The sequence below is a fragment of the Homo sapiens genome, chromosome 12, assembly GCF_000001405.40.
Source record: "Homo sapiens chromosome 12, GRCh38.p14 Primary Assembly".
In the NCBI taxonomy this organism is placed as follows: domain Eukaryota; kingdom Metazoa; phylum Chordata; class Mammalia; order Primates; family Hominidae; genus Homo; species Homo sapiens.
The window spans coordinates 106,990,735-107,006,889 of record NC_000012.12 but is presented as its reverse complement, the minus strand read 5'-3'; the positions used below and the strand labels follow the sequence as shown (position 1 = coordinate 107,006,889).

The 16,155-nt window shown below is 35.9% G+C and overlaps 1 protein-coding gene across 17 annotated transcripts in view, besides 1 other annotated feature; it reads left to right on the top strand.

The window, feature by feature from the left end:
* Window positions 1–15,526, top strand: part of CRY1 (cryptochrome circadian regulator 1) — a 102,186-nt gene extending 86,660 nt beyond the window's left edge. For 6 of the 17 annotated variants that reach the window (NM_001413468.1, NM_001413463.1, NM_004075.5 and 3 more), the window contains 11 exons: window positions 1,642–1,784; window positions 4,942–5,126; window positions 5,522–5,610; window positions 6,808–6,948; window positions 7,028–7,339; window positions 8,824–8,975; window positions 9,200–9,402; window positions 9,504–9,596; window positions 13,854–13,925; window positions 14,000–14,103; window positions 14,889–15,526. In NM_001413468.1, coding sequence (NP_001400397.1) covers window positions 5,009–5,126; window positions 5,522–5,610; window positions 6,808–6,948; window positions 7,028–7,339; window positions 8,824–8,975; window positions 9,200–9,402; window positions 9,504–9,596; window positions 13,854–13,925; window positions 14,000–14,103 — 1,284 coding nt within the window. In that variant the 5' untranslated portion in view covers window positions 1,642–1,784; window positions 4,942–5,008 and the 3' untranslated portion in view covers window positions 14,889–15,526. Of the gene's footprint in view, window positions 1–1,641; window positions 1,785–4,941; window positions 5,127–5,521; window positions 5,611–6,807; window positions 6,949–7,027; window positions 7,340–8,823; window positions 8,976–9,199; window positions 9,403–9,503; window positions 9,597–13,853; window positions 13,926–13,999 lie in introns of all 17 variants that reach the window. The other 11 variants (NM_001413461.1, NM_001413465.1, NR_182152.1 and 8 more) reach the window with 10 other exon arrangements.
* Window positions 3,973–4,173: a silencer, noted in NCBI's record as "peak1931 fragment used in MPRA reporter construct". NCBI's record gives its function as "represses an SCP1 promoter by STARR-seq MPRAs in K562 erythroleukemia cells {active_cell/tissue: K562}" and the evidence as "EXISTENCE:reporter gene assay evidence [ECO:0000049][PMID:32103011]".
* Window positions 15,527–16,155: the final 629 nt, after the last annotated feature.

The following is a 16,155-nucleotide window of genomic DNA, read 5'->3' as shown; positions in this document are numbered from 1 at the left end:
GATGGAGGTCAGGAATTTGAGACCAGCCTGGCCAAAATGGCAAAATGCCTTCTCTACTGAAAATACAAAAATTAGCTAGTTGTGGTGGTATGTGCCTTTAATCCCAGCTACTCGGGAGGCTGAGGCAGGAGAATCGCTTGAACCTGGGAGGTGGAGGTTGCAGTGAGCCAAGATCATGCCACTGCACTTCAGCCACTGCACTTCAGCCTGGGTGACAAAGTGAGATGTCATCTAAAAAAAAAAAAAAAAAAGATTACTAATACATATTATTGGCAAGTGTGTGGAGATCAAGCCTTAGGTGCACTGCTGATGGGAATATAAATTTGTACAGTCTTTCTGGTACATAATTTGACAGCCTATCAGAATTTTGAATGTGCTTATCTTTGATCCATCAGTTGTTTTTCAAGGGATTATTTCTAGGAAAAAATTGGATAAATACCCTATAATTTGTAAGATGTGTGCATAAAGGTAAAGATATATACTGTAAAGTTTATAATAGCAATTTTTTTTTTTTGAGATGGAGCCTCGCTCCTGTCGCTCAGTCTGGAGTGCAGTGGCACACTGCAACCTCCACCTCCCGGGTTCAAGTGATTCTACTTCCTCAGCCTCCCGAGTAGCTGGAATTACAAGCATGTGCCACCATACCCAGCTAATGATTTTATTTTTAGTAGAGACGGGGTTTCACCATGCTGGCCAGGCTGGTCTTGAACTCCTGACCTCAGGTGATCCACCCACCCCAGCCTCCCAGAGTGCTAGGATTACAGGCATGAGCCACCGCACGCCGCCTAGAATAGCAATTTTTTTAAACCCACCATTGGAATAGCCCTTGTCTAATCTGGAGGTGTTTGGTGAATTATAGTATGTTACCATATAGGCAGTTAAATAATGGTAGAATTTTTTCTTTATGAGATAAATCAGAATAGACTTAGAATAAAAAAAAAACTTTCTCCTTAAGAAAAATCAATTCCTTTAAGTCACAGTTTCCTCATTTAAAATCAGTATAAGGAGATGTACAGAACTTATTAACATAGCTCCTGATAATAAGTAACTGCTATTATTATTACCATCTCCAAATTTTTCAGTTAACGTTTTTTAGTAATCAGAAAGAAAATATTTACATACACACACACACACGACCTCAGCCAGGCAGCTTATACCATATCAATATCAAAGGTTAGTTAAAGACCAGTTCTTAGACTCAACAGACATAAATTCAGGTGGTCTGGCTTTCTGTGAACTCTGGCAGGTCCCTAAGTTTTAAAAATAAACTTATCTCCAAAATGGAAATACTAACCAAAGTGCCAAACTCTGAGTGTTGTTTTGAGGCTCAAATGAAATAATGTAAGTATGAGTAATTTGAAAAAGTAAAGTGCTCTACAAACACATTTAGTATAAGAGCTGGTTTTAAGCATATTGCTTTGCTAGATTGTTGCCTAGCATAATGCCTAGAATCTAATGGGTTATGCATTCATTACTTATGTATTTTTTAATTGATAAATTGTTTACTTTTTCCTGCATATTCAAAGTTTGATTTATGTATAATCCTTTGATATGTAGATTTTCAGCTTTTTCACTTTTCGTTATAATAGAAAAAATAACTATTACAATTGGTGTACATTGTTCCCCTTTCTCTTACTTTAGGAATGGAACATTACTAAACTTTCAATTGAGTATGATTCTGAGCCCTTTGGAAAGGAACGAGACGCAGCTATTAAGAAACTGGCAACTGAAGCTGGAGTAGAAGTCATTGTAAGAATTTCACATACATTATATGACCTAGACAAGTGAGTCCTTTTTTTTTTTTTACTGTGGGAAAATGCGTATAACATAATATTTACCATCTTAACCATTTTTAAGTATATAGTTCGGTGGTATTAACTACATAGATAAGTTTTTAACTGAGGTTTATAAAGTAGAAATAACATGTACTTCACAGAGTTATGGGAGAATTAAGTGAACATATGTCAAATCCTTAGCATTTTATTTAGCTGCTATTGACCCAATGACAGGTATCAGCATTTCAGTTTCAAAACTATTATGGATTAAGACTATTACAGAATTTTCCTTGACTACTCTTAACTCAGCCTCCTGTGGTCTTGCCTTTCTGGGCTCTTAGCATTATCAATTTTATAGTTATATATAGTTATAAATTGCCTTGACATATTTTGTATGCTTGTTTAATGTTATCTTATTTCATGTATATCTATTATGTCTGTCTGGATTTTAAATCCAGATGCAAATTGGATGTAATATAACATTGCATAGCTGTAGTCCTCTGAACAATGGCATAATAGAATATTTCCCAAAGTGTATTTCTTCCAGCACCAGTCCTTGGTGATGCTTTGTCCCACAGAAATTCTGTGGTCAAACTTAAATTTAGGGAGTGTTATATGCTATGAGTCTTAGAGGTCTGTAAAACTTAACTTTTTAAAACTTTTGGCATACCATTGTCCTTTTAAGTACTGAAATCTTATAATTTATTTACCTTTTAAATCATTTTACTTTTTTAGTAATTTATGTATTTTATCAAGTTAGTAAAACAAATTCTGTAACATGACAAACTAGTTGATTTGATTTCACATTTTAAATGTATCAAAAAATCATGATTTGATTCAGACAAAGGTCTTGATACTAAGCTAGAATTCATATATCTTTTAATAATAATCTTGCCTTCGAGCTCACCAATTTGCTTAACTTTAAGGAGCTCATAGCAAGGAGGGGGCAACACAGGATAAAAGCAGTTGCTTCTAAGTGGGAGACTCAGTGTTATGCATAAAATTGTTTAGGCTAGGCGCGATGGCTCACACCTGTAATCCCAGCACTTTGGGAGGCCGAGGCAGATGGATCACGAGGTCAGGAGTTCAAGACCAGCCTGGCCAAAATGGTGAAACCCTCATCTCTACTAAAAATACAAAAATTAGCCAGGCATAGTGGCGGGTGCCTGTAATCCAGCTACTTGGGAGGCTGAGGGAGGAGAATCACTTGAACCCGGGAGGCAGACGTTGCAGTGAGCCAAGATAGCACCACTGCATTCCAGCCTGGGCAATAGAGCAAGACTCTGTCTCAAAAAAAAAAAAAAAAATCAAGTGTTTATTGGATTGAATGTGAATATTTACTATATGTAATCTATCATATTAAAATGTAACATATAGAAAATGTTTTGTCCTAAGATTCTCATTTTGCTACTGTTGTGTAATTAACAATGTCCTCAGTAGTATTATTGTAGCATCATTACATTCAGCAAAATTCATTGCAACCCTATGAATAAATTCAAAATACACCAAAACAAAATTTACTTAAACAGGATATCTTTTATGGTGATTGCTTTCTGTATTACTTTCTGTATGTATCTGTAGTTGATACATCACTACGTATTGTATAATGAAAAATACACTAAAATACACTAAGAAAACCTTGATTTGCCGTTTATCAGTTATATGACCTTGACTAGTTTACTTAACTCTCCTGGTAGGCCTGTTTTCACATCTATAAAATGATGGAGTTGGATTTCACCTGTCATTTTTTATTAAGGCCAAATGCTAAGCAAATGGCCATAGTGAAAAAGAGTAGTTATTCCAAAAGAGTGTCTAAACTTAATCTTTAACTACCATTGGCAAAGCTAGTTATTTTTTTAATTAATAATTGATTGAGTTAATTAATGATCAGAAGTAAAAAGATACTTAAATTTAAATAACTTGAAATTTGGGGGCTTATGTGTTCTAAGTATGTGACATAGATACATATGCTGACATCTCTCATGCCTTCATTAGCACAATAGAAAATAGGAAGTAATTGTCACCACAGTAATATAGAATCAAAATTTATAAAATTTGCTGAAGGAAATAGGGTAATTGTTTTAGTCTGTTTTCACGATGCTGATAAAGACATACCCGAGACTGGGCAATTTACAAAAGAAAGATTTAATGGACTTACAATTCCACACGGCTCAGAAGGCCTCACAATCATGGTGGAAGGCAAGGAGGAGCAAGTCATGTCTTACATGGATGACAGCAGGCAAGGAGGGATCTTGTGCAGGGTAACTCCCCCTTTTAAAAACCATCAGATCTTGTGAGACTTACTCACTATCATGAGAACAGCACGGGAAAGACCTGCCCCCATGATTCAGTTACCTCCCACAGGGTCCCTCCCATGATGTGGGAATTGTGGGAGTTACAACTCAAGATGAGATTTTGGTGGGGGCACAGCCAAACCATATCAGGAATGTAGGTCCAAGGATACAAAGTAGAAGTTATGTAAGATGAACAACACTAGAGGTCTAGTGTACAGAGTAAGGATTTTAGTTAATAAAATTGTATTTTATTTGGAATTTTAATCAAATAAGTAGATTTTAGCTGCTTTTGTCACACACATACAAAAAAGTAACTGAGATTATAAATATGTTAATCTGCTTCACTATAGTAACCATTTTACTATCTACATGTATCCCATAATGTGTTGTAAACTCAAATATATACAATAAAATTTATTTTTCCTAAATGAGACCTGCTGATTACTCTTTCATATAATTATCAACCTGGTTTAGTTTTTATTGATGATTGAGATTCTTTGAGCTGGGCCATAACATGTTTTTCATATGTCTGTGTGTATTAACTTTTTGTAATTGCCTTTAGACTAATTTCCCCTCTTACTTGTTTTTTCCTCTCATAAGTTTTTAATATTCTTTGTCTTAAAGGTTTAATATTTGTGTAGTATATTTGTGTAGTATATTTGATACCCAGAGGATGTCTAGAAGCTCAGGAGAATGATTTTTGGACTCATTAATCATTTTGGACACATTTCTTGGTCATTATAACAAGCTAACACCCTCAAAGACTTCAGTGATTAATTTTATTTTCTGCTTTTTAAGCCTTTTGGGAGCTTATTAGCCAAAATGTATTGTCTTTTTTAATACTAACTACATTTTACTAACTCTTGTTATAGGATCATAGAACTCAATGGTGGACAACCGCCTCTAACTTATAAAAGATTCCAGACTCTCATCAGCAAAATGGAACCACTAGAGATACCAGTAGAGACAATTACTTCAGAAGTGATAGAAAAGTGCACAACTCCTCTGTCTGATGACCATGATGAGAAATATGGAGTCCCTTCACTGGAAGAGCTAGGTGAGTGTAAACTGTAGTCAGTGTGAGGCTTGCAAGTTAATAAATCATAAATTACTCAGAAAATTCCCCTTTTAATTTTGCCATGTAAAGTATTTTGCATTAGGAGAGAAAGAAAGGGCAGGGGGAGAAGAAAAAGAACCCTTTAAGAAGTGATATGTTTGTTCATCATTTATGTGTTTTATAAATATGTGATCTATTGTTACCACCTTAAGATGTACATCCTGAAAAATTGAAACCATGTCATATCCTCTATAGGTGAGGGCTTATTTAGGCCTTCAGTTCATTTTTATGGTACTCTCTTAATTTTTCTGCAAAGTAATTTGTTCTCCCAGTTATTGGGGTTAAATAAAAATTAGTTTCGGAAGAATGATGTTTTTTTCTTTTCTTTCTTGTAGGTTTTGATACAGATGGCTTATCCTCTGCAGTGTGGCCAGGTGGAGAAACTGAAGCACTTACTCGTTTGGAAAGGCATTTGGAAAGAAAAGTATGATAATGTAGATTATATAGCTATGCTTGTATTTCCAAACTGCCATTTAAAAAATAATTTTTCTCTCTTTTAAAAATAACAAATAGATTGTTGAAAGGGGAGGATTAACAGAAATGGTTAAAATAGCACAAACCTAATTGTTTGAAAGTTAACTACCATCTCCTCATTTAAATGCTCTTTCTCCTTCTCTTCTAATTATTTCCCCTTTAGCTACTACCGCACTACCTCTTCTGTTCTTTCTACCTAAGCTAGTATCTAGTGGCCACAATTTCGAAACTAGAATAGAATTATATTTCACCTTTACCTTTGTGTTAAAGAGAGGTTGAAAGCCAGGCATGGTGGCTTACGCCTGTAATCCCAGCACTTTGGGAGGCTGACGCAGGTGGATCACTTGAGGTCAGGAGTTCAAGACCAGCCTGGCCAACATGGCAAAACCCCCATCTTTACTAAAAATACAAAAGTTAGCCAGGGTGGTGGTGTGTGCCTTTAATTCCAGCTACTTGGGATGCTGAGGCATGAGAATTGTTTGAACCCAGGAGGCAGAAGTCGCAGTAAGCCAAGATCGTACCACTGTACTCCAGCCTGGGTGATGGAGTGAGACTCCATCTCAAAATAAATAAATAAATTTTCCAGGCCTGGTGGCTCATACCTGTAATCCCAACACTTTGGGAGGCTGAGGTGGGCAGATCATTTGGGGTCAGGAGTTTGAGACCAGCCTGGCCAACATGGTGAAATCCCATCCCTACTAAAAATACAAAAATTAGCCGGGCGTGGTGGCGCATGCCTGTAGTCGCAGCTACTCAGGAGGCTGAGGCAAGAGAATCCTCCACCCGGGAGCTGGAGGTTGCAGTGAGCCGAGATTGAGCCACTGCACTCCAGCCTGGGTGACAGAGCGAGACCCTGTCTCAGGAAAAAAAAAAAAGAGAGAGAGATTGAAGGTGCTCTCAGCTTTCTGTTGGAAATTTGAAGGAAATTTATTTCACATGAGTATGTGCTGCACAAGGACGACTGAAACAAAAGAATGCTCACTTTTTTATCCTGTCTTATTTTTTATTAAAACATGTAATTTGTGGCTAGGATAAGATTTTATTCCCCAAGAACTATGTAACTTTAAAAAAAAAAATCTCCATTCTGAGTGTTCTTTTAAAATGAAAAAGACAATTAGTTAATATAATTTTCTCTGTGTGTTTTCAGGCTTGGGTGGCAAATTTTGAAAGACCTCGAATGAATGCGAATTCTCTGCTTGCAAGCCCTACTGGACTTAGTCCTTATCTCCGATTTGGTTGTTTGTCATGTCGACTGTTTTACTTCAAACTAACAGATCTCTACAAAAAGGTATTCTCTAAAATTAGAGCTTATTGTTTAATACTTTAAAAAAAAATTCTGATAATACTTCTTTGCTTTTTAACCATAGGTAAAGAAGAACAGTTCCCCTCCCCTTTCCCTTTATGGGCAACTGTTATGGCGTGAATTTTTCTATACAGCAGCAACAAATAATCCACGCTTTGATAAAATGGAAGGAAACCCTATCTGTGTTCAGATTCCTTGGGATAAAAATCCTGAGGCTTTAGCCAAATGGGCGGAAGGCCGGACAGGCTTTCCATGGATTGATGCCATCATGACACAGCTTCGTCAGGAGGGTTGGATTCATCATCTAGCCAGGCATGCAGTTGCTTGCTTCCTGACACGAGGGGACCTGTGGATTAGTTGGGAAGAAGGAATGAAGGTAAGTGTTCTAACTGATATAGCATGCCTTATTTTGAAGGAATCCTTACCTTAATAAAACAAATCCTAGAAGTTGTCTGTTTATAGATTCATTTATGGTGTAGTTTTTCAGTGGATAAAACATTTAATTCCCCAAATACGGGGACACTTTCAGAGAAAAATGGTATAATCAGACAAGCAAAAAGGTGAAAACTGGTTAAATTGATTAACCTAAAGTCATTTTAATGGTTAAACCAGCCTAGCCACTAAGAGAACTGTAAAATTTAACACTGAATTTGTTGATAGATATATTTATAGGTGATATTTCTATCACGAAAAGAATTCACTAAAGAGTTCCTAGAGATAGTGAATTCATATTATAAATTTTAAAATATAAATCATTTCACCTCACTTCTCAGCTTTTTAGTAATACTTCTATTATGTAAAGAGAAGCATACTACATTTTGTGACGACATCTTGTGGATTACACGTAATAAGACTTAGGTACTTTTTTTTTTTTTTTTTTTTTGAGACGGAGTCTCTCACTCTGTAGCCCAGGCCGGGGTGCAATGACGTGATCTCAGCTCACTGCAACCTACGCCTTCCAGGTTCAAGTGATTCTCCTGCCTCAACCTCCCGAGTAGCTGGGATTACAGGTGCCCACCACTGTGCCCAGCTAATTTTGCATTTTTAGTAGAGAGAGGGTTTTACCATATTGCCCAGGCTGGTCTTGAACTCCTGACCTCAAATGATCCCCCTGCCTCAGCCTCCCAAAGTGCTGGGATTACACGCATGAGCCACCGTGCCCGGCCATTACGTACATTTTTTACCTTTCTGGCAATACCATACATTTGCCCCATCCAAGGACCATTTCTGAGCTTGTGTGTGTGTGTGTGTGTGTGTGTGTGTGTGTTTAATCTCTTATATTTCCTAGTACACCGTTGTATACAAAGACAATATATAACATACTTAATGAATATATATAAAAATCATTTATTTTAATTCTATTTTCTTTCTGATCAAGGAATTCGAAATTAAACTATGTAATGCTAGTATATATTTTTAAGTGAATTTATATTTGAGTATGCTTCCTTTATTTAGGCTAGAATATGAAGCTAAGTTTTTGTTGGTGTTTTATGTAATAGCATTTTTGCTTTCTTGAAAGTGGTTGACTGCTTTTCCTGTGTCTACTAATAATATCCTTTTAAATCCACATCCTTTTAAATCAGTGATTTGAATATTTTTTTTACCTTCCATTCTCCCAGTAACACTGCAGAGGTTGGAAAAGTAAATTCTCTTCAGAAGCATACTATATTACCACTATGTTTCTTTCTCTGGAAGAGCTCATTATAGAACAGAACATAGGGAAGCTAACTTTGGAATGTTTAATTTTACAATTCTGTGCTAGATTTTCTTTGCCTTGACTTTGGCTCTACTGTGACCTTGAAAATGCTTGCTTTGCGAATTATGTGTGTGCAAACTAATTGGTTACTGTTACTTCTGAAGGTATTTGAAGAATTATTGCTTGATGCAGATTGGAGCATAAATGCTGGAAGTTGGATGTGGCTGTCTTGTAGTTCCTTTTTTCAACAGTTTTTTCACTGCTATTGCCCTGTTGGTTTTGGTAGGAGAACAGATCCCAATGGAGACTATATCAGGTAAATCAAGGGTGATTACTACTCAGTTTGGAATAGTTAATTCAAGAAGAGCTTTTCATGTTTAATCAATGCTTAAAGTATTCCCCACTCATGATGGGCAGCAGAGATGAGAAGGGTAAACAGATCATTTAAATGGTCTTGATTTGATTTTGGTCTGTCATAGCTAGTAGTTATAGTTTGCTTAGAGTGCATTTTATTAGTAATCTTTCTTTTTTCTCCCAAAGGCGTTATTTGCCTGTCCTAAGAGGCTTCCCTGCAAAATATATCTATGATCCCTGGAATGCACCAGAAGGTATCCAAAAGGTAGCCAAATGTTTGATAGGAGTTAATTATCCTAAACCAATGGTGAACCATGCTGAGGCAAGCCGTTTGAATATCGAAAGGATGAAACAGATCTATCAGCAGCTTTCACGATATAGAGGACTAGGTATGTTAAGAACTGTCTTTGTTTCTTTGGCAGCTGTTTATGTACTTATCTTTGAATTTTATCTTGATCATAATTTAAAAGAAAATTTTTTTGTCCTTTAGGTCTTCTGGCATCAGTACCTTCTAATCCTAATGGGAATGGAGGCTTCATGGGATATTCTGCAGAAAATATCCCAGGTTGTAGCAGCAGTGGAAGTAAGTGAAAAGGAAATTTCTGCACTTAGTAACATGAAGAGGTTATTAAACAAATATATTTGTTATTGATCCTCACTAACATATTTTATAAAAATCTGTCTTTGAAATTAGCTTAATAGATTCTTTGTATGCATGCATACATGTGCACCCAGACACATCTCTTCACTCCATTGATGACATTTTAGAGATGGAAAATATCATTACGTATAATAGATACTGGGTCAAGTTAAAGCTCTTGCAAACTGAGGAGAGCAATTTTAAGGATAAAATGAAACTCAAATGTCATATTTTCAGAATGCTTATTATTTTTTACTCCTTAGGTGTATGGCAACTATAAGGTAATTAGTTAAGAAAGTCAGTGGCCCTGTGAACATGGCCAAAAGATTTATTGTACACATGCATAGAGCCCTCTAGTCTTTTTGCACATAAGTTTTTCTTATAAAGTCTGGTCTGTAGTAGTTTTCTGTATGATACAAATTTAGTGACCATGTAAATTCTTATGTGTGATATTAATAATTTCAGGAACTCAGTATGTGTTAGAAATTTGAACCATCATATTAGTTTTTGGCTTTGACCAAAAATAGCATGAAGCTCAGTAATTTGATTAAAAAATAGGACAGCATCAGTGAGAATGGTGATTATTAAAAAGTCAAGAAACAACAGATGCTGGTGAGGATGCAGAGAAAAAGGAAGGCTTTTACATTGTTGATGGGATTGTAAATTAGTTCAACCATTGTGGAAGAGAGTGTGGTGATTCCTCAAAGATCTAGAAGCAGGAATACCATTTGACTGAGCAATCCCATTACTGGGTATATACCCAAAGGAATATAAATCATTCTGTTATAAAGATACATGCACACGTATGTTCATTGCAGCACTATTCACATTAGCAAAGACGTGGAATCAACCTAAATGCCAGTCGATGATAGACTAGATAAAGAAAATGTGGTACATATGTACCATGAAATACTATGCAGCCATAAAAAGGAACGAGATCATGTTCTTTGCAGGGACATGATGGAGCTTGTAGCCATTATCCTCAGCAAACTAAGGCAGGAACAGAAAACCAAACACCTCATGTTCTTGCTTGTAAGTGGAAGTAGAATGATGAGAACACATGGATACATGCGGAGAACAACACATACTGGGGCCAGGTGCAGTAGCTCACACTTGTAATCCCAGCACTTTGGGAGGCCGAGGTGGGTGGATCACCTGAGGTTGGGAGTTTGAGACCAGCCCCTGACCAACATGGAGAAACCCCCGTCTCTACTAAAAAGACAAAATTGGCCGGGCGTGGTAGCGCATGCCTGTAATCCCAGCTACTTGGGAGGCTGAGGCAGGAGAATCACTTGAACCCAGGAGGCAGAGGTTGTGGTGAGCTGAGATCGCGCCATTGCACTCCAGCCTGGATAACAAGAGCAAAACTCCATCTCAAAAACAAAAAACAACAAAACACACATGCTGGGGTCTGTTGGGGGGGCAGGGGCAGGGAGAGCATTAGGAAGAATAGCTAATGCATGCTGGTCTTAATACCTAGGTGATGGGTTGATCTGTGCAGCAAACCCCCATGGCACATGTTTGCCTATGTAACAAACCTGCACATCCTGCACATGTACCCCAGAACTTAAAATAAAAATTGAAGGGAAAAAAAAGAAAAAAGAAATCTATACATGTGATAAAAGAGCATAAAATCATACAAACACTTTGTATCAATGTCAATACCTGGTTATATTGTTGTACTGTAGTTTCATAAGATGTCACTAAGAAGATAGGGAAACAGGACCTCTTTGTACTAACTTTACAACTGTTTGTGAATCTATATTTTTCAAAATAAAAAAAACAGGATAAAAACAGGGTAGCATTTGAGGAATGCTTTTTTAAGTCAGATGTTCTAAGTTGATATTAAGAATAAAACCTTTTAAAAACTGAACCTTTTTGAATTCAGAAATGTCCTGCATCCTCATGAAAACAGCATGTATTTTATCCTCCAAGAATTAGTTTTGGGAGAAGGGGACAAAAGCACTCACATTTTGACTGCCTACCTTTGCCCAGTAGATAGTAAGGGATTTTTGCATACTTTCTCACAGTAACCTGGGGAGGAGGTAGTGGGATCCTCATTTTATATTTGGGGAAATAATCCTAGAAAGATTAGGTAACTTAACCAAGATCCCACAGTTAGTAAGTAGTTGAGCTAAGATTCAGATCCAAGTCTGACTAGCTCCAAAGCTTGTACTTCTTCCTGCATCATTGGGCCTCCTCTGCAAATGGAATGCCATAAGTGTTTACAAGAGAAAATATTTTATTCCTGGAATGTGATCCACCCAGCAGTCGACAGTTGCCAGTGATGGCAGTATACTTGAGAAATGTTCCTTCTCAGTATCTCCTACAATTTGAATAAACTTCCACAAGATAATCATTTCAAAAGTTCTTTCAGATCTCTTGTTCAGTTCACAGCCTGCCTTGTCAGCCCACACATGAGTGAGGGACAGAAGCTCTGTGAAGCACTAAGATAACAGGCAGGTAGCAATGGGCTAGGAACCAAGGGTTGGGCTAATACACAATGATGGCACAGACTGCTTCTTAGACCACTCAAACCTGTGTCGTTTATTTGGAATTATCTTCAAAAGCTAATCATAGTAGCAGGTTAAATTGGGACAATTTTGCTTCACAAATGTATATAGGGTAGTTTATTATATAATAGAAGAATTAATAAATCTTGAAATTATTTTAATCATGTAAATATTTGCCTGTAACATAGTTTGTAGCCAGCTTCTTGGAGGCTTTCAAAAGACATGAGACATGAAAAGCTAAGTAGAACTTAAGTATAAATGGGGGTGTGGAGGGAAAACAAAAACAAATGAAAAAGTGATAAATTATAAGATGCTGCCTCCATGTGCAATATGAGAAAAGGGAGAGATTATTGAGAGCTGAAGGGACTAGAGAAACTTTCTTGAAAGGTGGCAGGATTGAGTAGCATTTGGGTAGTCAGATGAAGGAAAAAAACATTTTAGACCTGGAAATGGGAAATTGTGAAAAGACACGGCTTGGGCTATGCTATTAATATTAAACATTTCTCCTCTCAGGTTTCTGCCCCATTTGAAAGGACTTAAATGCTTCTAAAGCATATCCTTTTATGCCTTACACTTATCCTGTCTGTAGGCTTTTATAGTACCTTACAAGGCATGTCAAAGGGCAAAATTCTTTTACTTGTCTTAGTTTTTTGTTTGTTTGTTTTTGTTTGTTTTTTTAATGACTGTGGAACATTCTTAATCTCTGCAACACAAATTGCATTTTTCTCTGCTCATCTTTGTATTTGTGTGTGTGTGCACATGTGCTCAGGAAAGGAATAAACTATACATAGAAGTCTTACTTTTGTTCTTATAATAAAACAGACTGTAATATGTTTACTACTGTAGCAATATGTTTTAGTTTTTATTTAACTTTTAGGTTTTTTTATTGTAAAATATCAGTTCATCGGCATTATTAGTCATTAGGGAAATGCAAATTAAAACAACTATGGGATAGTACTTCATACTCACTTAGGGTGAGCAACTGCCACTGATTGCCTGGGATTGAAGTTAATTAAAACGAAAGTAAGTGCACAGTCTTGTTCAGGCCATAAGGTGTTGACCTATCCACCTGCTCGTGGATAGGTCCAGAATGCTCATATTTTTCCATAAACTGGACACACTGACAGAAATGTTTCCCTAAAACATACTTCTCTGTTCTAGCCAACCTATTCTCCTATAATAGTGTTTGTTTTTAGAAGGGTTGATAGGATTGCTTAGGCTAGGTAACTGCCACATAGTCTGTGTCTTCTGCTTGTCGTATGATTTGAATTGTTTAACTCATCGGGCAGGCCCTTATTCCCTTATCCTCAAGGAAATATGTTTGGAGGAGCTCTGAAGGAAAAGCGTGGGAAAAGGGACAAGAGTGAGGGAGGAATGTCTATCTCACTCTTGCCCCTATGTTTTACCTTCATGGTCAAGTTTCAAATTGTCATCTAGTAAGGAAATGTTTTTTAGAAAATGATCATCAATGATTTTTCCTTTGAGCTGTCAACACTTCTGTGAGCCTAAATTTAAGTTTTCCTGGTTTGAGCATGTGATTTTTGGTTCATAGGAAGATTGAGATTTAGTCTTAAAAGCATATAAATGACCTTAAGTACAAGCGCTAAAAGTTGGATTTGTAGACTTAATAATACATACATCTTGGATTTGATTTTAAGTAATTTTACTGTGTTTTAAATACTAACAGGTTGCTCTCAAGGGAGTGGTATTTTACACTATGCTCATGGCGACAGTCAGCAAACTCACCTGTTGAAGCAAGGTAAGAATGAAGCATTGGAGCATACTGTTCTTTTTCCTTTTCCTATCTTAAACATACATTTTTTAAATGTGCAGGAAGAAGCTCCATGGGCACTGGTCTCAGTGGTGGGAAACGTCCTAGTCAGGAAGAGGACACACAGAGTATTGGTCCTAAAGTCCAGAGACAGAGCACTAATTAGGTAAATATTTTAGAGCTGTATTTCTTGCTTTAGAAGAGTATATAATTAACATAAATTAAGATAATTTCAAAAATGGAGCAAATCTCTATTTTCAAACCAGAAAATCTTGAGGCATTAATTTTTAAGCAATTTTTACAAACTCAGTTAATTTTTGGTCAAGAGACATGCATCTGTACTGGAGAAATTGTTGCACCAGTTTTATATTCATCTGAACCAATGCTCTTTAAATTAGAGATGTTTATGATTTTGTGGTCAAGTTTTTTCTTAGAAAAAGACAACTTTTTTATTTCCTTACTATGTAACTATGAGTCTAAAACAATTAAAGTGGCCTGTTTATTTTAGTGACATTAATATAATCTTTTTATGAACTTTCCCCTAAATCTTTGCCTCTTAAATGTTGATAAATTTCTTTTATCTGTTATGATGCTTCTAAAATCTAAATTATTTCCAATTTGGGAATAGTTCAAAATTTTTTAAAATGCTGGCCCTTATTAGAAGTATCAGAAAGCCTTGCCTGCATTCAATTTAATTGGATTTGGGATGTCATTTTGTGATTTAAATTAATATGAAAAATATTTATACGTTGGATTTGCCAGTTTTTAAAAATTTTCTGTTTCTTCAGTTTCTAACACTGTTTACATTTTTTATTGCTTAGTTTTTTTATGTCAACCTAATTAGACTATAAGTATCTTGAAGATAAGGTCAATAAACACTCATCACATTTTTGTCATTGAATTATTTGCAATCAAGCTTTACCTAGTTTTTTTTTCCCCCTTAAATCACAGAAAACATTCAGGAGGAATACTGTTGCAGCTGAAATTGGTGGGGAGTTCAATACTTTTCAATTAAGTTATTTAAAAATATTCTTCATTGATGGAAAGCAGTTACATATTGAAATATGTTGTTTCTAATGACATTTCTGTGGTTTTTAACTTTTTAATGAATTTCACAGAGGACAATTGGTAATTTGTATATAAAGAACTTGGCAAGAGAATTTGCTTAATGTAAATATAAACAGTCACAATTAGTATAGACCCATCGATATATTTTTGATAATTTTTCATGTATGGTAAAGTTAAAATGACAAATTGATATTCTGATATAAAACTCAAAGTTTTGAAGTCAGTGGGAAAAAAGGAGGTTTTTAGACTTTCTTAAAAGACGTTAAAATTTTAGGACAGAATTTTCTTGATGTTGTTTGATCTAACTTTGCACTCTTTGATAATAATGTTTTAGATAATGTGCGTAATCCAAATTGGTATTGTAGCCTCTGTTAACACAGACAGTATATGTTTTAAACTTTGATGTAAACCTTTTTAGACCCAAACTTGTGGAAGTATCATGTGTTAAGTTCTCTGTCTCTGTTTCTTTGTTCATTTATTACTAAAATGAACTTGTTATTAAAGTATATGCAAATATGAAATCTTGTGTACGTGTTTTTTTTTCTTTTTTGGTAAGGGAGAGAGTATTGCTGTATGATATATGATTACAAATTACAAAGAGATTCTATAAACCACATCATCATTTTGAAGGAACAGCTACCATATGTTTAGTTAAACAGTGTTTTTCAAAATTATATGCAAGAAAGAGGTAAAACTAAAGGGACTTTTTTCAAGTAATGGCATTTGTAACCATAAATCAGGCAGTATGGGCTAGCAATCAATAGAGTGAGCTCTCGAGTCAAATGCCCATTTCTGCCATTCATTAGCTTTGAGGTCTTGAGCAAGTTTAACCTTCTATGTCTTCTTTCTTCTTATCTATAAAATAGGGATGAGGGTAGTATCTGCTTTATAGTTCAGTTCCATGTAAAATACTTATGAGCTGGCATGTGATAGGGTACTCAGTGTTAGCCACAGGGCTGCCATGCTGTGTCACCCCCTGTCGTGTACAGTGCACAGTCTGCATAGCTGTATGCCACAGCTCTGGTTAGCTGCCATTATTTTTATTAGTATTGTTATTATCCCTTTAGTGTTCTCTAGTAGGTTAGTTCTTGCCATTCTGAATTATAACCAGTGGCTTTTCATTTTCCCATCATTAATCATGATAGATATT